Raw genomic sequence first — 25,239 nt, 5'->3', positions numbered from 1 at the left:
GAATCTGTAAATAAATTTGGGGGTACAGACATACCTCATTTTTTTGTGTTTCATTTTATTGCACTTTGCAAAGACTACATTTTTGAATGCAGTTTTTTGCCACAAATTGAAGGTTTGCAGCAACCCTGTTTTGAGCAAGTCTATTGGTGCCATTTTTCCAACATGTGCTGACTTCCTATCTTTGTCACATTTTGGTAATTTTCACAATATTTTAATTTTTTCATCATTATTATATGTGTTATGGTGATCTATAATCAGTGATCTTTGATGTTACTATTGTGATTGTTTTGGGATGCCATGAACTGTGTCCATTAAAGGTTACAAACTTTAATAAATGTTATGTGTAAATAACATCTATTAAATGTTAAAACTGGTTCCAATAAATGTTATGTGTGTTCTGATTGTTCCACTGACCAGCCATTCTCCTGTTTCTCTCAATCTCCTTTCAATATTCTCCAGGAATATTGAAATTAGGCCAACTAATAAGCCTACAATGGCCTCTAAGTGTTCAAGTGAAAGGGAAAGTTACACATCTCTTACTTTAAATCAAAAGCTAGAAATGATTAAGCTTAGTGAGGAAGGCATATCAAAAGCCCAGACAGGCTGAAAGCTAGGCCTCTTGTGCCAAATAGTTAACCAAGTTGTGAATGCAAAGGAAAAGTTCTTGAAGAAAATGAAAAGTGTTATTCCAGTGAACACAAATGATAAGAAAGCAAAACAGCCTTATTGCTGATATGGAGAAAGTTAGTGGTCTGGAAAGAAGATCAAATCATCCACAGCATTCCCTTAAGCCAAAGCCTAATCCAGAGCAATGCTCTAACTTTCTTCAATTCTGTGGAGGCTGAAAGAGGTGAAGAAGCTGAAGGAGAAAAATTTGAAGCAAGCAGATGTTGGTTCATGAAGTTTAAGGAAAGAAGCCACCTTCCTAACATGAAAGTGCAAGGCAAAGCAGCAAGTGCTGATGTAGAAGCTGCAGAAGTTATCCGGGATATCTAAGATAACTGATGAAGTCATCTACACTAAACAACATATTTTCAATGTAAACAAAACAGCCTTCTATAAGAGGAAGATGCCATCTAGGACTTTCATAGCTAGAGAGGAGAAGTCAATGCCTGGCTTCACAGATTCAAAGGATAGACTGACTCTCTTATTAGGGGCTAATGCAGCTGGTGACTTTAAGTTGAAGCCAGTTCTCATTTGCCATTCTAAAACTCCTAAGACCCTTAAGAATTATCTTAAATTGACTATCTGTGCTCTCTCAATGGAACAACAAAGTCTCAATGACAGCACATCTGTTTACAGCATAGCTTACTGAATATTTCAAGCCTACTGTCGAGACTTACTGCTCAGAAAAGGAAATTTCTTTGAAAATATTACTGCTCATTGACAATGCACCTGACCACCCAAGAGCTCTGTTGGAAACATACAAGGAGAGGAATGTTGTTCTCATGCCTGCTGACACAACATCCATTCTGCTGCCCATGGATCAAGTTCTAATTCCAACTTTCAAATCTTATTATTTAAGAAATTCATTTTGTAAGCCTATCACTGCCATAGGTAGTGATTATTTTGATTGTTCTGAGCAAAGTAAATTGAAAATCTTTTGGAAAGAATTCACCATTCTAGGTGCCATTAAGAACATTCATGATTCATGGAAGGAGTTCAAAATATCAAAATTAACAGGAGCTGGAATAAGTTGATTCCATTCAATCCTCATAAATAACTATGAGGAGCTCAAGACTTCAGTAGATGTAAGTGTGCAGCTTTATTTCTGAGTTTTCTATTCTGTTTCGTTGGTGTATGTGTCTGTTTTTGTACCAGTACCATGCTATTTTGGTTACTATAGTCTTACAGTATAGTTTGAAGTCAGGTAGTATGATTCCAGCTTTGTTCTTTTTGCTTAGGATTGCTTTGGCTGTTTGGGCTGTTTTTGGTTCCATATGAATTTTAGAATAGTTTTTTCCTAATTCTGTGAAAAATATCATTAGTAGTTTGATAGAAATAGCATTGAATCTGTAAATTGCTTTGGGCAGTATGGCCATTTTAATATGATTTTTTCCAATCCATGAGCATAAAATGATTTTCCATTTACTTGTGTCATCTCTGATTTCTTTCAGCAGTGTTTTGTACCTCTCCTTATAGAGATCTTTCACCTCCTTGGTTAGCTGTATTCCTAGGTATTTCATATTCTTTGTGGCTATTATAAATGGGGTTGTTATCTTGATTTGAATCTCTGCCTGGACATTATTGGTATGTAGAAATGCTACTGATTTTTGTACATCGATTTTGTATCTCAAAACCTTACTAAAAGTATCAGTTCTAGTAGCCTTTTGGCAGTCTTTAGGGTTTCTAGATATAGAATCATATCATCAGTGAAGAGAGATAGTTGGACTTCTTCTTTTCTTATTTGGATGCCTTTTATTTATTTCTCTTGCCTGATTGCTCCGACCAAGACTTCCAGCACTATGTTGAATAGGAGTGGTGACAGTGGGCATCCTTGTCTTGTTTTGTTTCTCAAGGGGAATGGTTCCAGCTTTTGCCCATTCAGTATGATGTTGGCTGTGGGTTTGTCATAAATGGCTCCTATTATTTTGTGGTATGTTCCTTCAGTGCCTAGTCTGTTGAGGGTTTTTATCATGAAAACATTTTCAATTTTATCAAAACCTTTTTCTATATCAATTGAGATGATCATATGGTTATTGCTTTTAATTCTGTTTATGTGGGGAACCACATTTATTGATTTGCATATGTTGAATCAGTCTTGCATCTCTGGAATAAAGTGTACTTTATCATGGTGTATTAACTTTTTAGTGCTGGATGGTGCTGCTGAATTCTGTTTGCTGGTATTTTGTTGAGGATTTTTGCATCTATGTTAATCAGAGATATTGGTCTGAAGTTTTCTATTTTCATTTTGTCTCTGCCAGATTTTGGTATCAGGCTGATTAGGGAGGAGTTGGAGAAGAGCCCCTCCTCCTCAAGTTTTATGAAATAGTTTCAGTAGGATCTGATCTTCTACAAGGCTGACAGAAACAAGCAATGGGGAAAGGACTACCCTATTCAGTAAATGGTGCTGGGATAACTAGCTAGCAGAAGAATGAAACTGGATCCTTGCCTTTCACCATATACAAAAATTAACTCAAGATGGATTAGCAATTTAAATGTAAGATCTCAAACATAAAAATCCTAGAAGATAACCTGGGAAATACCCTTCTCAACACTGGCCTTGGCAAACAATTTTTGGTTTTCCTCAAAAGCGATTGCAACAAAAACATATATTGACAAGTGGGAAATAATTTAACTAAAGAGCTTCTACACAGCAAAATAAACTATCAATAGAGTAATAACTAACAGTAAACTATTGTTCTATCAACCTACAGAATGGGAAAAAATATTTGCAAACTATGCATATAACAAAGGCCTAATATCCAGAACCTTTAAGGAACTTAAACAATTGAACAAGCAAAAACCAAATCATCCCATTAGAAAATGGGCAAAGGACATGAATAGACAGTTCTCAAAAGACCACGTTCAAGCCGCTAGCAAAACATGGAAAAGTGTTCATCATTGCTAATCATCAGAGAAATGCAAATCAACACCCCAATGAGATACCATCTCACACCAGTCAGAATGGCTGTCATTAAAAAGTCAAAACACATACTGGTGAAGATGCAGAGAAAAAGTAATGCTTACACACTGTTGGTGGGAATGTAAATTAGCTCAGTCACTGTGAAAAGCCACTTGGAGATTTCTCAAATAACTTAAAATAGAGCTACCATTCAACCCAGCAATCCCATTACTGGATATATACCCAAAGGGAAATAGATCATTCTACCAAAAAGATATATGCACTCATATGCTCTTCACCACACTATTCACAGTAGCAAAGGCCTGGACTCAACCTAAGTGCCCATCAATGGTGGATTGGATTAAAAAATGTAGTACATATACACCATGGAATACTATACAGCCATAAAAAGAATGAAATCATGTCCTTCACAGCAACATGGGTAGAGCTGAAGGCCATAAACCTAAGTGAATTAATGTAAGAGGAAAAAACCAAATACTGCATGTGATTACTTATAAGTGAGAGGTAAACATTGAGCACACATGGACATAAACATGGGAACAATAGACAATGCAGACCACTAGAATAGAGAGGCAGAGATGGGGGTGTGGGTTGAAAAGCTACCTATTGGGTACTACACTCACTGTACATGTAGCCTCATATCTAAAATAAAAGTGGAAACTAAAAAAAGTAAAAGACTTCGGTGGAGGAAGTCACTGAAAATATAGTGGAAGTAGCAGGAGAACTAGAATTGGAATTAGAAGTGGAGCCTGAAGATCTGATTGAATTGCTGCAATCTCATAATACAACTTGGATAAATGAGTTGCTTCTTATGCATAAGCAAAGAAAGTGGTTCCTTGAGATGGAATCTGTTGGTGAAAATGCTGTGAAATTGTTGAAATGCCAACCAAATATTTAGAATATTATATAAACTTAGTTGATAAAGCAGTGGCAGGATATGAGAGGGTTGACTTTGATTTTGAAAGAAGTTCTACTGTGGGTAAAATGCTGTCAAACAGCGTGACATGCTACAGAGAAATCTTTCATGAAATGAAGTCAATCAATGCAGCAAACCTCATTGTTGTCTTATTTTAAGAAAATGCCACAGACACTCCAATCTTGAGCAACTACCACCCTGATCAGTCACCAGCCATCAACATCAAGGCAAGACCCTCAACCAACAAAAAAAATACAGCTTGCTGCATGCTCAGTTAATTAACATTTTCTAGCAAAGTATTTCTAATTAAGGCATGTACGTTGTGTTTTTAGACATGTTATTACACACTTAGTAGGTTAGAGTGCAAACATAACTTTTATATGCATTGAGAAAACAAAAAATTTGTGTGACTTGATTTATGGCAGTATTTGCTTTATTGTGGTGGTCTGGAACCAAACCCACAATATCTCCTTGTATTGCCATCTTAACAATTTTAAGTCTTTGGATCCATAAACACAGTACATTTTCCTATTTATTTAGGCCTTATTTAATTTCTTTCAACAATGTTTTGTAGTTTTCAGTATAAAAATCTTACAATTATTTTGTTATATTTATTCCTAAGTAGTTTATTCTTCTTGATGCTATTGTATATAGAATCATATTCTTAATTTCATTTTCAGCTTATTTATTGCTGGTATATAGAAATACTATCAATCTTTGTATATTTATCTTCTATCCTGCACCTAGCTAAACTCATTTGTTAATTTTAATATTTGTTTTTGTGATGGTGGATTACTTAGAATATTCTATATACATGATCGTGTCATTTGTGAACAAAAATAATTTTACTTCCTTTCCAATCTGGATGTCTTTTATTTCTCATTCTTGCCTGATTGCCCTGGCTAGAATACAATATTGAAGAGATGTGGCAAGATCTATCATTCTTGTCTTGTCCATAATCTTAGGGAAAAAGCATTTATTCTTTCATCATAAGTACAATGTTAGCTGTGGACTTTTTTTTTTTTCGTAGTTCTTACAGGTTGAGGAAGTTTCCCTTCTATTCTGATTTTGTTTAGTGTATTTTTCATGAAAGGGTGCTAGATTTTGTCAAATGCTTTTTCTACATGTATTTAGATGATCATGCTGTTTTTGTCTTTTGTTCTACTGATATGGTTTATTACATTGATTGCTTTTGAATTTTGAACAACCTCGCATTCCTAGAATAAACCTCAGTTAGTCATGGTATATAATCCTTCTTAAAGGTTGCTGAATTTAGTTTCCTAGTATTTTGTTGAGGATTTTTGCCTCCATATTCAAAAGCGATATTGTTCTGCAGTTTTTTTTTTTTCTTGTGATGTCTTGGTCTGGTTTTGGCATCAGGGTAATACTAGCCTCATGGGATGAGTTGGGAAATGTTCCCACCTTATTCATTTTTTGGAAGAGTTTGTGAAGGATTGGTATTAACTCTTTTTTAAATGTTGGGTAGAATTCATCAGAGAAGGCATCAAGTTTTTAGTATATTCACAGAGTTGTGCAAAACTCACTAGAATTTAATTTTAGAGCATTTCTGTCACTCCCCAAAGAAACCCTGTAGTCACTAGCAGTAACACCTCACTTCCCTCAGCCTCAGGCAACCACTACTTTATTTTCTCTCCTTGTAGATTTGCCTATCCTAGACATTTTATATAAGTTAAATCATATAATATGCAGCACTTTATGACCAGTTTCTTTCACTTAGAAGACTGTTTTCAAGGTTCATCAATCCGTGTGTCACTACTTCATTCATTTTAGCTGCTGAATCGTATTCCACTGCATGAATATACCACATTTTGTTTATCGTCTGTTGAGAGACATTTGGGTTGTTCTCACATTTGCCTATGATAAATAATCCTGCTATGAACATTTGTGTAAAAGTTTTTGTATGGATTAGCAATGTTTTGTTTTTAAAATGATATTTGCAGCAGATTTTTATCTAGCACTTTAGTTGTTTTCATCAGCTGAATTGCCAGAAACATAAATCAAATTTTGCTTTTCTCACTGAGCTTGTACTACCTAATTGGAGCAAGGAATGTGGTCAAAGGATGTGGTGGCCTAGCATAAAGAGAATCTCTAGCAGTTTCATACCTGAGGGCTTTATGCAGGGGAATACAGGACCCTAAATAAAGGAACAAAGAAATCCATCCATCCATCCATCCATCCATCCATCCATCCATCCATCCATCCATATACTTCATTCATTCATTAACTAATAGTTTTTGAGCATCTACTGCATATGGGCCAGGCCCTGTGTGAGGGAGGCTGAAAATTCAAATGAATGTAAGACAGACCTGGTCTCTACCTTCTGAGAGCTTACATTTTAACAGAAAACAACCAAACAGGCAAATTTCCACACAGTATGATAGCTACAATGCAAATGGAAGAACAGGGGCCTATGGGAGCAAAGAGGAGGGCTCACCACCCAGTGGGGAGAGGGCCGGAAGTCTTCCCAGAGGCAATGGGAGCTACAGAAGAACTTCAATTGTGTATTGGTGAGGTAGGGGGTTGATGTGGGGGTGAAACTACCCTGCAACATTGAGTTCTTTATCTAGGAACCCTGATGGAGCAATGAATTTCAAAACCCGGGTCCATCTTTTGATAGAACTGCCCAAAATGAGTTTAACACGGTGCTTGGCAGACACAGAACAGGTGCTCTGTGTGTGTGTGTGTTTGTGTGTGTGTGTATACACACATATATACATAATGAATCCACGGTAAACCTAACTGTACACCCACCCCAGTTCATTGTAATCTAGGTGTCTTCCTAGATTTGCAAACCGCTGATAAGAGATTTTTCTTTTTCAAGAGCAGAGATGAATTAGAGAATATAAAGCTTGTTCTTCAAATCAGTTATCTAAACTGCAGGGCTGTCCAGTAGAAATTTCTGTGATGACAGAAACGTTCTAGACTTGTGATCTCTTACATGATAGTCACTAGCCACAAGTAGCTACTGAGTGCTTGAAATGTGGCTAGTGTGACCGAGTCACTCAGTTTTAAATTTTATTTAATTTTAATTAATTTCAATTCAAGCAGTCAGATGTGACTAGTGGCTACCGTGTTGAATAGAACAGCAGAAACACTGTTGCTACTAAAAGTGCATTATGAATGCACTTTTCAAAGAGCTTTACCTCTCTTATCCCTTATTGTCACTTGATCCTCACAACAGTCCTGTGAAAGATGTATACCAGGCACCATTCATCTCATTTTACAGATAAGGAATCTGAGGCCCAGAGAGGTTCCCAGCTAAAGACTGATCTGGGCCTGGAGTCCTGGGATCCTGAACAATTAAGGAGACTGGTGTTCTTGCCCTCCAGCCATCAGAGGATGACTGTAAGGCCCAAATAATGTCTTGTCTCATTGCTATGAGTGTATAAAGGATTGAGCAGATGCCTGGAGCTAGCATTGGAGTAGCAGAATTTCCAAGTCCAGATCCTAGGGAGAATGGTGGTCATTCCCATGATGGGCCACTAGAGGGGGCTTGCTGCTCTAACACGAGGTTATTTCTTTTTAGTTATTACCTTTATAGTTCAGGGTGCCAAGACTTTGCAGCACATCTTTTCAAGGTGGAACAGATGGTTAACTTCTTGGCAATATTTCTATGTCATTTGCAGATGTTGGCTCAAAAATACCTTTCCTTGAGGTCCAAATGTACTGATTAAGTTCAGTTTTTTGGCCTAAAGTTATTTAGAGGCAAATTTCCAAAATATCATTAAGCCTTACCAGCCATTTTCTGAAAGCAGGCTTGAATAGGAGGAAAAAAGAACAAGTGAGTAATGGGAAGAGGAACAGAGTTGTGAAGAGGTAAAATTTATGGAAAAATTAGGTCACTGAAAAAGGAGAAGAGGAAAATGAAGATAAGCCTTATTATTAGTTTAATTCCTCTTTCACTGTAACAAGAAAAACACACAAGAATTTAAAGGCACTCCAATTATCTTACCTGTGGCTGGATAGGGAGGACTGCATGTCCCCCTGGGACAAGGCCACAGTCTCTGATTTTTAATACTTCCATCTTATCCCAAGAGGAGACACTCTCCCCCAGGACTTAAGCAACACTTCTTGCCTATTTTCCTGTTCAAAATTATAAACAAGGTAGACAGGGAGGCAACACTGCTTGCATTCTATCAGAAACTGAGCCTTGGATTGCCCGATGACCTGCCCAAGACCACTGAGCTAGTAAATAGGAGAACCAGATTTACAGCCGGGTCTATGTGACTTAGCCTGACAATGTACAGTTGTGCAGGTTATTCTCTATCTAGTAGCAGGAAGTGACATGTACATAGGTATCTCCATATATATATATATATATATATTCGCTATTTTCCAGCAAATGGCAATCAACTGACTTGAGGGAGGAATACCCATTGTCTAATTTGCAAAAGATACCATTTGAGCTCTCAGTAGCCCTGGTATGGCTGCTGTCACTCCTCTATCCACAAGGAAGCGAAGCTATGACAGGCTGTTCCAAAAGCCCAGGAACTCAGCCTTGAGGGCTGCTCCTGCTCAGTCAGCGTCCTCATGCACATTTGTGCAGACTAATTTCAAGGTCTACTGAGAACCTTCTGACTCCAAGCCAGGCCTTTGGGTACGGAAAGAGGCTAGAGGTCAGAGAAAGATGCCATTGGTGAAGAAGAATTTGAAAAAAAAAAATCTACCAAACAAGAACAAAAAATCCACTCCCTCTTGACCAGGAAGGAGCAGAAGCACAGTAGGGTGACAAAAATACATGGACTCTAGAGCCAGCCAGACAGTGGGTCAAATCCAGGCTCCGTTACTCACTAGCTGGTTGACAGGCAGTGAGTCACCTTATTTCTCTGAGCCTGTTTCCTCATCTGTAAATGATGGGTGGTTGGCTGCATGCTCTTTCAAAGGTTGTTGTGATGATTAAATGAAATAATACATGTAGAGGATCTGACATGGTACCAGGCATGGTCAGGGTTTTTTAAAATTCAGCCACTGTATTGCTATTTGATGTCAGGTCAGCAGTCAGAGATGTCAGCCTGGAGGGCTGGGCTGGGGATAGAGAAGTCGCAGACGTAGAGCCAAGAAACCCTCTGCATTCCTGGTTGTAGCCCAAAGAGACTAGGCAGCTGGGGGAAAACTGGCCATCCACGCATCCCACCCTCAATTATTAACAGGAGGGTTTGGGAAGAAATGATCTGATATGGGTGCTAAGCATCCCTGCAAGTTTCCACTAGATATGCCAAGAACACAAGTCCCTGAGTGCTCTTTACCCAGATCATTTCTCAGAGTTGTGTTTGCAGCCAGCAGTCTTGAGGGATGAGGTAATGTCTTCCTTTGGACAACGAGCAGGCTTGCTTACCACTCATTATAAAAGCAGTAGATTTCTTAAACTCAGTGTCCCTCAGCAATAATGCAAACTCACTGCATGTATAGCATCTACCAGGGGCCCCCTGCATTGCCCTGTATGACTTGGGGGAATGGAAAACTGATGCCAACATGGTACTCATGCTGCTGGCTATGTTATGAATAACAAAGAGACCTAGGAGTATCATGTCTTCCAAAAACATTCATAACACATTAACAAACTTGCTTATTACTTTGGAAGTAGGGTAAAATTCCAGACCCTGATGGGAGACTTTCAGAATCTTCTGGTTCAGAGGAGGGACTACAGGAACTTGTCATTTAAAAACTTTTAATTTTGAAGTTGCATTTGACTATCAAACACATGAGGGGTTGGGTAAAAGAAAAAGAATTTATTGAAATCTATTAAAATACCTGCCCCTCTCCCTAAAAGTCCCCTTTGACATTAACATAGCCTTGGATGGGACTTTATGAGTGCAGGCAGGCAGGGGAGTTGGATCAGGAGTTGTACCCCTGGTCAGGCTACCAGCTCTATCCTACAGGGTGGCTTTGGCTTGAGGGGTGGGGTGCAACAGTATATTAATGATGGAGTATACAGTTTCTCCTACCTCCTGGGAATAGAGGGCTGAGGCTGAGTGGCTCAAATTTTAAGAGATTTCAAAATTAAGTTACTGATCTTTAGTATTATTAAAGAAGAGCTGAAATTGGGGATTTTAAGTCACAAACAACAAGGATCTTCTGTTTCTATTTTATTAACCATGTTGTATGTATACTTTGCTGGTAGCCCCCTCAATTCCTTGTGGAAAAGATAAAAGATAAAAAACAAGCAAGCAAGATCAAGATGGCTGATGGACCACCCAACACTTGCCTTCTCTACAAAGAAGGATCAAACAACAAATAGATAACCACACATTAAATACAGCATCTAAGAATTCAGCAAAGAAGAGATAAAGACACTCTGAGGCATGGAAACTTGAGATGTATAGGATGGGAAGTAAAGCAGCCAGCCAGAACTGGCTTGGAGCTGAGAGCCCCCTGCCCCCTTATTGCAGGAAAAAGGTAGGCAGGAGATCCCCAGCAGTCCACATTCCCACCACAGACACCTGAAATCCTGACTACAGGAGAGCGCCACAGCCCTCACAGGCCCTGAGCCTGATATAGGGAGCTTCCCGGACTCCACATGACTGCATTGCCCCAGAGTGGGAATCTACATCAGGTGCCCCTCACCCTTTGGGACCCAGGCTGCTACAGTATGGTACAATTTTAAGAGCTGAGCCACCACCAAACTTCATCTTGACCTGAGCCCCAATAGCCCCCTGCCTCTCCACACCACTGGGACACCAATGATATCCACCCTATCACTCATCCAAAGAGCTGCAGCATTATGACACTAGCTGGACCCAGTGGTGAATTTGTGTTGCTGGCGTCTAAGCCCATTCAGTGCCCTACCTCCTGGGTAACAGGTGGTCCAGCACATCAGGGAAGCTGCCCACAGGATATAGGAAGGCAAAGCATGGGCTCCTCAGAACCCGAGAGCCACTTGCCTGGAGCTACCACTGCTAGCAGTGATCCTGCCCCCTGCAGTGTCAGGGCTACTATATGCCCACGTGTGCCCCACCCGGGACGAAAGGATAAGCCTGCCCAGGGGCCCCAACCCCAGAAAAATTACCTGATGGCTTCCACAAACACAGACTAAGCCACTGAGGAGCTCGCAGACACCACTGATGTTGGATACAGCCAAAGAAATCATACAAAGACTATACTACTGTGTTCACCCAGAACCAAAACCAAAGTGCCCCAACCAACCAACACTATAGATACATCTATGGGAAAACATCTTTTCCTACAAAAGCTACTCCATCAAATTGGAAGAAGTGACTGTTACACTATATGTGCAGATGTCAACATAAGGACACACAAAAAAATGAAAATTCAAGGAATATGACACCTCCAAAGGAACATAATTCTCCAGTAACAGACCCCAAAGAAAAGAAAATCTATGAAATGCCTGGAAAGGAATTCAAAATAATAATCCTAAGGAAACTTAGTGAGATATGAGAACACAGGTAGATAATACAAAAAAAAAAACATGAAAACAACTCATGATCTGAATGAGAAATCCAATCGAGATGTATATAATTTTTAAAAAACCAAGCAGAATTTTGGAGCTGAAGAATTCAATGAATAAAATGAAAAATACAATGGATAGCTTCAACAATATACCACATCAAGCAGAAAAAAATTTCTGAACTCACAGTTCTTTTGAAATAACCCAATTTGACAAAGAAAAAAGAATAAAGAAGGCCTACATGACATATAGAACACCCTTATGCAACAAATATTCACATTTTGGGAGTTCCAGAGGGAGAAGAGATAGGAAAGTGCATAGAAAACCTATATAATAAAATAATAGCTGAACAGTTCCCAAGTCTTCAGAGAGATACATCTAAATACAAGAAGCTTAAAAGATTCCTAAATAGATTCAACCCAAAAAGGTCCTCCCAGAGGCATATTACACTTAAACTATGAAAAGTCAAAGACAAAGAGGATTCTAATAATAGCAAAAGAAAATAATCAAGTCACATGTAAGAGAATTTCCACCAAACTAACAGCATATTTCTAAGAAGAAACCTTATAGGCCAGGAGATAATAAAGTCAAAGTGGTTTTTGTTTTGTTTTGTTTTGTTTTTAAAAAAACCCTGCCAGCCAAGAATGCTACACAGAGAAAGCTATCCTTCAGAAATGAAAAAGAAATAAACTCTTTTCTCAGACAAAAACTGAGGGAATTTAACACCACTAGACCAGTCCTACAAGAAATGCTTAAGTGAGCATCTGGAAACAAAAGAACAATATCTATCCTCATGAAAACACACAGAAGTATAAAACTCACTGGTAGAACAGATATACAAGTGAGAAAAAAAGAATCAAATGTTATTATTATAAAAAACTACCAAGCACAAAAGATAAACAATAAGAGGAAGAAAAAGAAAATGATATGCAAAACTATCAGAAAATAATTAACTAAATACAGCAGTAAGTCCTCATCTGCCAATAGCAACCTTACATGTAAATTGTTTAAAGCTCTCAGCTAAAAGATATAGACTGGCTGAATGAATTTTTAAAAAGCAAGACTCAACTATATGCTGACTGCAAGAAATTCACTTCACCTGTAAAGACACACAGACCGAATGTGAAGGGATGAAAAAAGATATTCCATGCAAGCAGAAAAAAGTGTGCAGGAGTAGTTACGCTTATATCAGACAAAGTAGACTTTAAATCAAAAGCATAAAAAGAGGCAGAAAAGGCCATCATATAATGATAAAGAGATAAACTCAGCAAGAGAAGATAGCAATTGTAAATTATGTGCACCCAACATCAGAGCACCCAGATATATAAAGCAAATGTTATTAGAGTTAGAGATACCTCAATACAATAATAGTTGGGGACTTCAGCACCCCACTTTCAGAACTGGTTAGCTCATCTAGACAAAATCAACAGAAACATGAAACTTAAACTGTACTATCAACAAAATGAACCTAACAGACATTTATAGAACATTTCATCCAACAGCTGCAGAATACGCTCTTTTCATCAGCACATGAACATTCTCTAGGATAGACTGTACGTTAGGCTACAAAACAAGTCTCAACAAATTTTTAAAAACTGAAATTATATCAAGTGTCTTTTCAGACTACAATGTACCAAAACTGAAAATCAATAATAAGAACTTTGGAAGTTGTACAAATAATTAAAAGTTAAACAACGTGCTCCTGAACAACCAATGGGTCTATGATGAAATTGAGAAAGATATCAAAACATTTCTTAAAACAAGTGAAACTAGAAACACAACATACCCAAACCTATGAGATACATCAAAATCAGTACTAAGAGGGAAGTTCACAGCAAATGCCTACATCAGAAAAGTGGAAAGATTTCAAATAAACAAGCTAACAATGCACCTCAGGGAAGTAGAAAAAAAAGAACAAACCAAACCCCAAATTAGAAAGAAAGGAATTATAAAGATCAGAGAAGAACTAATCAAAAAAGAGAAATAGGAAAAAATGCAAAAAGATACATAAAATGAAAAGTTGGTTTGCTGAAAAAATAAACAAAATTGAAAAATCACTAACTAGATGAAGAAATAAGAGAGAAGGCCTAAATAAAAAACATCAGAGAAAAAGGAGACCTCATAACTGATACCACAGAAATACAAAGTTTCATCTGAGACTATTATGAACAACTGTATGTCAACAAATTGGAAAACCTAGAAATGGATAAATTCTTGGGCAAATATAACCTACCAAGATTGAACCATGAATAAATAGAATATGTGAACAGACCAATAATAAGTAACAAGATTCATTCAGTAATAAACAGTCTCCCAATAAATGCCCAGGAGTGGACGGCTTTACTGCTGAATTCTATCAAACATTTAAATAAGAAGTAACGCCACTTCCTCTCAAACTATTCCCAAAAAATGAAGAGATAGGAATTTTTTTTTAATTCTACAAGGCCAGTATTACCCTAATACCAAAACCAGACAAAGACACAATAAAAAAGAAAATTACAGGCTAATACCCCTGATAAACATAAACACAAAAATCTCCAATAAAATACTAGCAAACTAAATCCAGCAGCACATCAAAAAGATAATACAACATGATCAAGTGGGATTTATCCCAAGGAAACAAGGGTGGTTCAACATACACAAATCAATAAATGTGATACATCAGCAGAATGAAGGACCAAAATCATATGATAATCTCAATAGATGCAGAAAAAGCATTTGATAAAATCCAACATTCTTTCATCTTAAAAAAATTCTCAGAAAATTAGGCACATTAGGAACATACATCAGCACAACAAAAGCCATATATGACAAGCCCACAGCTGACATCATACTGAACAAAGAAAAGGTAAAAACCTGAACAAGACATAAATGCCTATTTCCACCACTTTTATTCAACATAGTAATGAAAGTCCTAGCCAGAGCAATTAGGCAAGATAATAAAATAAAGTGCATCCAAATTGGAAAAGAATAAGTCAAATGGTTCCTCTTTGCAGACAACATAATCTTACATATAGAAATACCTAAAGACTCTACCAAAAAAAAAAACAACAACAACACCTTTCAGAACTGATAAATGAACTGAGAAAAATTGTGGGATACGAAATCAACATACAAAAATAGTATTTCTATATACTAATAACAAATTGGCTAAAAAAGATTTCAAAAAGGCAATCTCATTTATAATAATTATCAAAAAAAGACTTAGGAATAAATTTAACCAAGGAGGTGAAAGATCTCTATAATGAAAATTACAAATCACTGATGAATGAAATTAAAAAGGATGCAACAAACTAATACATGAACAGAAAACCAAATACCACGTTCTCATTCATAACTGGGAGTTGAACAATGAGAACACATGGACACAGCGAGGGGAATAACACACACCAGGGCCTGTTGGGGGGTCGGAGGGTGAGGGGGTGGAACCTAGATGATGGGTTAATAGGTGTAGCAGACCACCATGACACATATACACCTATGTAATAAACCTGCACGATCTGCACATGTATCCTGGAGTTTAAAGTAAAATAAAAATAAATAATTTTAAAAAATTAAAGAGGATATCAAGAAATAAAAAGCCACTCCATGCTCATGGATTAGAAGAATTAATATTGCTAAAATGACCATGCCGCCGAAATCTACAGGTTCAATGCAATCCCTATCAAAATACCAATGACATTCCTTTTTTTTTTTTTTTGATGGAGTCTTGCTCTGTCACCCAGTCTGGAGTGCAGTGGCGCTATCTTGGCTCACTGCAAGCTCCACCTCCCAGGTTTATGCCATTCTCCTGCCTCAGCCTCCCGAGTAGCTGGGACTACAGGCGCCCACCACCACACCTGGCTAATTTTTTTTGTATTTTTTTTAGTAGAGACAGGGTTTCGCCATGTTAGCCAGGATGGTCTCAATCTCCTGACCTCATGATCTGCCCGCCTCAGCTTCCCAAACTGCTGGGATTAGAGGGTGAGTCACCGCACCTGGCCACCAATGACATTCTTTACAGAAATAGAAAAGCAATCTTAATATTTGTATGGAACCACATAAAAACCGAAATTGCCAAAGCAATACTGAGCAAAAATAGCAAAGCTAGAAGCCTAACACTACCTAACTTCAAAATATACTACAAAGCTAGTATAGTAACCAAAACAACATGGTATTGGTATAAAAACAGACACATAGACCAATGGAACAGAATAGAGAACCTAGAAATCCATGTGTTTACAGCCAACTGATTTTTGACCAAGATGCCAAGAACATACACTGGGGAAAAGACACCCTCTTCAGTTGCTGGTGCTAGGAAAACTGGATATTCTTATGCAGAAGAATATGTACCACCACATACAAAAATCAACCCCAAATGGATTAAAGACATAAATGTAAGGCTTAACACTGTAAAACTACTGGAAGAAAACATAGGGAAAATGTGTCACGGCATTTATCTAGGCAAATATTTTATGTGTAAGACTTCAAAAGCACAGACAACAAAAACTAAAATAGACAAATGGGACCATATCAAACTAGCAAGCTTCTGCACAGCAAAGGAATCAACAGAGTAAAGACACAATCTGTAGAATGGAAAAAAGTATTTGCAAAGTAGACATCTGACAAGGGACTAATATTCAAAATATATAAGAAAATCAAACAACTCAATTGCAAATAAAATTCAAATTGAAAAATGGGCGAAGGATCTGAATAAACATTTCTCTAAAAAAGACATACAAATGGCCAAGTATACAAAAAACACTTCTAAACATATCATCAGGGAAATACAAATCAAAACCACAATGAGATATTATCTTACCCCAGTTAGAATGGCTTTTATCAAAAAGACAAAAAAAAATGCTGGTGAAGATATGGAGAAAAGGGACATCTTCTACATTGTTGGTGGAAGTGTAAATTCATTACAGACATTGTGGAAAACAGTATGAAGTTTTCTCAAAAAAATATATAGAACTACCATATGATCTAGCAATCTCACCACTGGTATTTATCCAAAGGAAAAGAAATAGATATACTAAAGGAATACCTGCACCCCATGTTTATCATGGCAGTATTCATGATAGCCAAGACATGGAATTAACCTAAATGTTCATGAGCAGATGAATGGGTAAAGAAAATGTGGCACATATATGCAATGGAATACTATTCAGCCATAAAAAATGAAATCCTGTCATTTGCAGCAAGATGGATAAGCCTAGAGTTCATAGTTAAGTGAATTATAATTAAGTGAAATAAGTCAGGCACAGAAAGATAAATATAGTATGTTCTCACTCATGTGGCGGCTAAAAAAGGTCAAGCTCATTGAAGTAGAGAACAGAATTGCAGTTATTAGAGGCTAGGAAGGGGAAGGGGAAAAGAAAGGCTAGAAAGAGGTTGGTAAACGAATACAAAATCACAGGAATAAATTCTAGTGTTCTATAGCACTGTATGGTGAATGTAGTTATCAATAATTTATTGTATATTTTCAAAAAGCTAGAAAAGAGGATTTTGATTGTTCCCAACACAAATGAGAAGTGTCTGAAGTGATGGATGTACTAATTACTGTTTTGATCATTACATGTTGTATACAAGAATCAAAATATATCTCTTCTGTAAATATTTGCAATTAGTACATGTCAACTAAAAAGGAAAGAAAACACAAGCAAGCAATCAAATGTGAGAGAGGCAAAAATGCCCATATTTGGATATACTGAGCAAAATGCTAGTGAAGTTCAAAGGAGATAAGAAAAAGGAGTGACAGATTTTCAGAACACAAAATTGATGAGCTCTTTGAAAGTTTTGGGTAAACAGAGTCTTTTAAAACTCCTACTTGAAATGCACTGTAGGAAGTAAAGGATCATTCCTTGTCACCAGATCTCAGGAAGCATGTGGCCACCTGTTAGGAAGGCTGAGTTTTTAAGCCAGGCATGTCTATATTCTTTATTGTTGTTGTTTTGTTTTTGTTTTTTTTTCTTTTCAGAAAGGAAAGGAAGGGATGGGAATAGGAGAAGAAAGGGAAGGAACAAAAAGTAGATGTAGTTGAACAGAAAGCCTGAGGAGTTGCTGATACATAAGGAGGGGATGGGTATCCCACCTTTGGAGCCTTTGGAGTGCTACTTCAGCAGGTCTTCCAACAGGAAGTCCACTGTGATTACACATGATGGACTGGTGTTGAAGTGTTTGGAAGGGAGGTTTTATGGAAGCCTGAGGGGCAAGGACATATAATGTATCTTCTAATTACCCTTTATCGTGAGCCCTTGATATGGTTTGACTGTGTCCCCACCCAAATCTCATCTTGAATTGTAGCTCTCACAATTCCCTCATGTCATGGGAGGGACCTGGTCGGACGTAATTGAATCATGGAGGCGGGTCTTTCCCGTGCTATTCTCATGATAGTAAGTCTCACGAGAGCTGATGGTTTTATAAAGGGGAGTTTCCCTGAACAAGCTCTCTTGCCTTGCCTGCCGCCATGTAAGACATGACTTTGCTCCTCATTCACCTTCCGGCATGATTGTGAGGCCTCCCTAGCCATGTGGAAATGAGAGTCCATTAAACCTCTTTTTATTTATAAATTATCCAGTCTTGGATATGTCTTTATTAGCAGTGTGAGAACAGACTAATACAGCCCTCCATATGTTTGCCTTACTTGGGCCTTTTCTGGCACCAAAGGAGAGTAAGCCAACATGCTAGCTAAGGCTAAAGGAGTGATGTATTGGTTCACATAACCAAATCAACTAGGACACCTGGTTGCACCTGGGCTTAGGATGATGGGAACTATGGGCAGGAACACAGCCAGGATACTCCTAGCTTCTCCTCTCCACTTCTGTCTGCTGTATTCTCTCTCAGACCTGCTTCCATAATGCTGGGTACCTGTCCAATGGCTGATTCCAGCTCTTCTGCCAGAGAGGACTGGAACCTGGTTCAAGCTGAACAATTCTGTATGGAGGGGATGCAGAATGCCAGCAGAGGACTTTCTGCCTAACAGGTCCAGCATAGATACCTGCGTCACCTGCGGTAAAGAGGAGGTGAGTGGTGAAGGAAGTAGCCTGAGCCTGCCAGTAACAGACAGGAAGTGTGGTCTGTAAGAGGACAGCAGCCCCTAGTCCAGCCATCAGGTTAGAGGGCCAGACAAAGGGGGAAAGTTGCTGGGCACCCCCGCAATGCAACAATGGATGTCCCCCAGGGTAGGTAAGCCAAAAAATAGGGACATTCTGGAGCTCTGGGTCTTGGTTCTCTATTCACTCTTCTGAAAGTACCTGTAAAAGCTTTTATGAAGACTGTAAAGCTCTTCTGAGGAGCTCCCTGCCCAGCTCCCTTCAGTCTGGCTGTGGGCTGATTCCTTGGAGGCACTTGCCTGCTGATCTTAATAGAAGCCTCTCCATTGTAGCTCTATTTATTTATATATATATTTATTTATTTAAGACCACATCTCTCTTTGTTGCTTAGGTTGAAGTGCAGTGGCACAATCATGGCTCACTATAGCCTCAAACTCCTGGGCTCAAGTGATCCTCCTGCCTTGACCTCCCAAAGTGCTGGGATTACAGGCATGAGTGCCCCCACACAGCTAATTTTTAAATTTTTTGTAGAGATGGGGTTTCACTATGTTGCCTGGGCTGGTCTCAAACTCCTGGCCTCAGTGATCCTCCCACCTTGGTCTCCCAAAGTGCTGGAATTACAGGCAGTAGCCACTGTACTGGGACTCTCTGTGCAGCTTTATTAACAGTAGGATGATACCCCAGCCAGGATGATTTTCCCATGTGACAGAAGACTCTGGATAGAGTCCCAGCTGGTAAAAAAATTGGACCTAATTCAAAGTTTGAAGCAGGTCCTTGCTCCATTGTGCCTCCCTGTGTATAATCAAGATACCTCCCTTCTTTTCTCCTCAAAGCAGAAGTGAGTTTGGCTAAAAATGAAGGTCCTTGCTTTGCTAAGAAAGACCACATAAGCCTAAATCCAGGGCCTCCTGCCCTCACCAGGCACAAGGGTGCAGGCCCTGACTCAGTGCATCAGTTGCACCCCTGGGGTTGGGGCCAGCTCTCTGCAGGTTCCAGCATCCAAGAAGCTGCAGTGCATCTGCAAATTCCTCCCTTCACACCCTGACCTCATTGCCCATTTCACTGGTTGGTTGATCCTTTGTGTGTGCCTAGGAAGATTTACCCCCACCTCCACCCCAACAAGGCGAGTGTAAACAAGTTGCTTCCTGGCCCTCTGTAGAAAACAGTGCCGATCACTGAACCATGAAATCTCGTGGTCTGTGAGTCAAGCCCAAGCAGCCACGGGCATCAGCTCCATGTTAATAATGATAGCTGAACAGATGGAGAGCTCTTTCTGTGCCAAGGTTGCACTGAATACTGTTCAGGCTTGTCTCATGCTCCTCATGGGAACCTCTGTCAGAAGGGGACCGTTATTCCCATTTGATAGGTGAGGACACTGATGCACTGAAAGGTTAAGTGACTGGCCCAAGGTTACACAGCTAGTGGAGCTGGTTTCCAACTCTCCCAGTCTGACTCCAGAGAGAGAGACTTTCCTAACCACTCCATGGCCGAGAGTGCATCCATTCAGGCTATCACACTGCTGGATGTGGAAAGATTTCATGTGGGTGGATGGATCCCTTGGGGTGATGTCCTCTCATGTCACATCTATTAATGTCTTTAAGCCTAAGAGTAATAACAATAATAATATCCATCTCAACGGTTACTGTGAATATTAAATTAGATGATGCCTGCAAAGGGCTTAGCACAAAGCCCAGCCCCTTGGTAAGTGATCTGTAATTGTCAGCTCTAAGTCCCTGGTGTGAATGTGGGGAGTGGATTTGCAGTGCTTTACAATGGCTCACACAATAAAAAGTCTGCCCTATAGCGTATCTGATGCAGATACGGTATGAATTCAATTGGTCAGCAAGATCGGTTGATTCAACTGCCTGTACAGCTCATAAATCTTCTTCCCTATGTAGTAGTAGCAACATTCTGGGACTGTCTCCGTGCTTTCCTTCCTAAGGCTGAAGCAGCAGCAGTGAGAGGGTAAGAGGCTTTGGGGCCCTCAGTCTTGCACTTGGGGCTGGCTTCTCCGCTTCTTGGCTGTGTGACTTCAGGCAGGCCACTTCCCATCTGCAAGCCTCAACTTCCTGATAGATGAGATGAGGAGAATGACGCCTGCCTCACAGGCAGAAGGGAGAGGAAAATGAGAAAATGTATGTAAAACTTCTGATGCTGCATCTGGCCCACAGCTGATACCACTGTAGCAGACTTTGTTTTCCAAAGTGGGCACAGCAGTGTTTCTGGTCCTGTGTACTTTTCTGGAACCTTGCCATTTTCATGTAAAGAGATGAAGTTTATCCCCTTACCCTCACCTCTCAAACCCAGGCAGGCCTTTGTAACTATCTTGGCAGTAGATGTGGCAGAAGTGAGGCTGAGTGACCTCTGAGGCTAGGTCATGAAAGGAGAAATCTCCTGCCTTGTGTTCTCAACATGTCCCTTTGACATCCTGAGCTATCATGCAGCAAGTCCAGCTTCCCTGGACTATGCCAGAGGGACCCTGAGAAGAGACCACAATGAAATGAAGATGCCCCAGGACCCCCCACTGTTCTAGCCCCTGGTCTTTGAGCCACCCCAGTGGGGCCCAGCAGAGATGAACTACCCCCATCAAGCCCTGCTCAAATTGCAGTTATAAGCAAAATAAATGCATCTGGGCATGCTGTTCCCTCGCTCTCTAGCTTCAGCCCCATTTCCCTTCTCATTCTTCCAAGTTCAACTCAAATGTCACCTGCTTTTCTATTTCCCCACTCTTTTAGACCAATAGAACAGTCTACATTTCATGAGTTTGACAGTAAACACCATATTGTGGACCTTTCTTGTCTTTTTGCCAAGACTGTGAGCTTCTGGGGGGTCAGACATAGCATCTTATTCATCTTTGCACCCTTCATCTAACATAATGAAAATGTTAAACTAATGTGTGTGTCTGTGTGTCTGTTACTTTTAAGTGTGTTTCTCAGTATGAATTATTTACATCATGAATTATTTGTGATGCCTTGTACATTTTTCAAATGCTGAGATTCCTAAGGAACCAGCTGCTACTTGTGGTCCCAAGTGACCTGGATTGATCAGACTGTGACAGGTAGCATCTCTCCAACTCTATATCTCAAAAGCAAAAGGGCACTGTATTTGCCATGAGCCCTTTTATCCCTGGGAAAGATCCCCTTTAGTTTTAATCGGCCACCTTGCTGCCATGACCATTCAGATCTCAGCCCTGATGTAAGGTAAAGGGTTTCAAGGTTGTCAAAGAAAGAGTCCCAACGCATTTTCTGCTGTGATCTCACAATACTGGGCCCACCCCTCCTGGCTCTGCCACTGGGGGAAATCCCAACTCCTCAGCCCTGAACAATGGCTTTGTGGAAGCAGTTGGCTCATTAGACATACAAGTAAGAACATGAAGCTCTTCTGAGGTGACTCCCTGGCCAATCCAGGCCAAGCCCATCACTTGTCAGTTTACTGATCCACAGGCAGGGTAAGGTGCAGGGCTCAGAAAAGACCCAATGCCCACAAAACTTTAGCATAGATGGCCTACTTTGGCCAGAAAGCACCAACAGGGCTGCAAGAGGGCCCGCCTCTAATTGGCTCTGCTGGCCTTTCACCATGACCTTCGGAAAGCACCCAAGCTCTCTGTTTGCCTTTCTCCCAGTTATGTTAAAAGGAATCATGGCAGCCATCCCTAGCTGTTTCTCCCAGCAGTGTGAATAGCATAAAACACATACCTGTGCTGTTTAGAAGAAGGGCATTATGCACAGGCTGGGGATGTTACTAAGCAGAGATTTCACATTCATTGGACACTCATTGAATGCCCAGTGTTACTCTACAGAAAACAGGAAACAGGAGTCTGTTTTTTGTTTGCTTGTTACCAGAAGCCCTAATTTAGTGGGCTTTCATCTTCCCCTCCAGAACACTGTGATGGTCTTGACTGAGAGGCACTTAAGACTTAAAGAAGTGGCTGGCTTTGCAGTTTCTGCTCATTACTTGTTTATGACTGATGTCCAACATAAGTTGTACATGCCTGGAAAGTTATATCACGTACCCAAGCCTGAGCCTGTGAATTTCATGGCGATGAGGAGCAGTGATGCAACAAAACATATTTGTTATTAATCAATATATGAAGTATTGACATCTAATTTTTTTAAAGGTAAAAAGTATGGTTACCACCTCTAACTAACTCTCTTCCAGGTAAAATTAGATTGAGAAATTACATAGACTAGCAAGAGAGGAGCACAGGGGACACCACTGGCTCTTCTGAGGAGCCCCTCTCAGTGTCTTTTCTGGAGAGGCTTGGGACAAGGCAGTAGATGGCCCCTGCTGGCGGCAACGGAGCGCTCAGAGATAGAAGTGGGGGAAGATTCAGATTGGGTTCTCTAAATGTATCCAAATGTGAGACTTCCACATGCAAACTTTGGTGGGGCCTCTGTCTGCTCTACCCAGGCGGGTCGTCTACCGTGCTGTCTCAGAGCTGGGGCCTGCAGTACATGGCAGGGTACCATCAGCCAATTTCCCTCCAAATGCCGAGGGTGGCGGGGGCTTGATAGATATGTCCAGAGATCCTGGTGTACATCCTCCAACAAGGACAAAGATCAAATTGTTTATCATACTTGTGACCTCAATTAGACTTGAACATGGAGGTTGCATGATGCTGTGGAAACGTCCTGACTTTTAAAGTCATCCAGGCCTGGGCTCAAATGCCACCCTGCTGCTTACTTGGGTAAGTGTAGACCTTGGTAATCTTCTTAGCCTCTCTGAATCTCACTGTCCTTGCTGTTATGAGGACCAAATGCCACGGATGACATAAAATGCTTGGCGCACAGTAGGAAATCAGTCCACTTCCCTGCCCCTCGTCTACCTTCAGGGCAGGATCACCATGGCATTCTGTATTATCTGGCTTCCCCCCAAGATCTGAAGCATGCTGGGCACATAATTAATTTTTAGTAGTAACCTGATGAGTGAATCATAAACTGGGCTTCTTTTTACAGGCTATTCCTAAAGCTAAATATTTGTAAAACTCTGATAGATGCTCTGCAAAATGGAAGTGCCAGGGACAAGGGAAGGATCAATGTCATCAACTCACTGAACAAAGTCAGACTGGACTAGGGCTGAGTCGAATTATGCCAGGAAAATGTGTTCTCTAGGCCAAAGGGTAGGGCACTGGATGGAAAAATCAGCCCCTCAGAGAGCTGAAAGAGGGTTTCTGGATGGAAACAGGGCATTCCAGGCCAGACTGGGCTGAGCCATCAAGCTGGGGCCATGGTGCTGTTGAGTCCTTGGGATCCCAATGTCATCATGAAAATCATCAATTTTTTTAGTGCCTGGACAGGCGAATGGAAACATTTTGATGCACTGGAGGAACACAGGGCCAGCATTTGGCCAGGCCTGACTTATATATTGCAAGTTTTGGCCTCTTTCTTAGGAGAGAAAACATCTCCCCAGATTCCCCATGCTCTTAGCTCTCCCTTATTGCTGGGGAAATGCTCTGCGGAGCTGGGTGGTGGTGCAGGAGCACCCTCAGGTTTCAGTAAACTCCCCTTCCTCCACACAAAGGAACACATACCACCATAAACCACAATAAGAGAGATCTACACGTGCTGCCTAGGAAACCTGTCTATGACCTACTGTTGAATGAAAAAAACCTAGTTGTATGAGTAGCATGGTCTTATATTCATTCACTCATATCTATTTATTTGGTTGTACATATCTGTAGAGGAGCCTAGAAGGAAATCCTCCAGACTTAACAGAATGGCTACATGCAGCAATTTAGAGGAGGTAGTGGCTTCTTCGTATTCTCCTCTGTATTCTCATTTGATTGTTTTTAAAAACAAATAGCATTACTTGCACAGTAATTTTTAAATAAAATTTTACTTAAGGATCTCTGCTTCCAGTTCCCCTGACAACAGTCACTGAACATATGCAATAAGAAGCTTGGGAGAATTCACAGTCGGTTTAACTTTTAATGAGCATCTACTCTAGGTACAAGTCGGGGTTCCTACCCCAAACAGATGAGCTGACAGACACTTGTGTACGTAGTTCACTATAACAGGAGACGGCTTGGGGCAAGAGCTGGATGGATGCTATGATGCACAGCACTGTCATTTTAGATACATTACAACTCTTCTCTCATTAAATCCTTGACTCATTCAGTCAACACTCAAGGGTTGACTCATTCAGTCAACACTCAAGCACCTGTGGTATGCCAGCAACTGCATTAGGTGCCTGATTCACATTAATGAAAAAACAGACATGGTACTTGCTCCATGACATCTTGCAAAGAAGAAGTTTTCAGAAGTTCAACAACTTTCTC

The sequence above is a fragment of the Homo sapiens genome, chromosome 11 (assembly GCF_000001405.40).
Source record: "Homo sapiens chromosome 11, GRCh38.p14 Primary Assembly".
Taxonomy (NCBI): Eukaryota; Metazoa; Chordata; class Mammalia; order Primates; family Hominidae; genus Homo; species Homo sapiens.
This window is presented reverse-complemented; position numbering follows the sequence as displayed.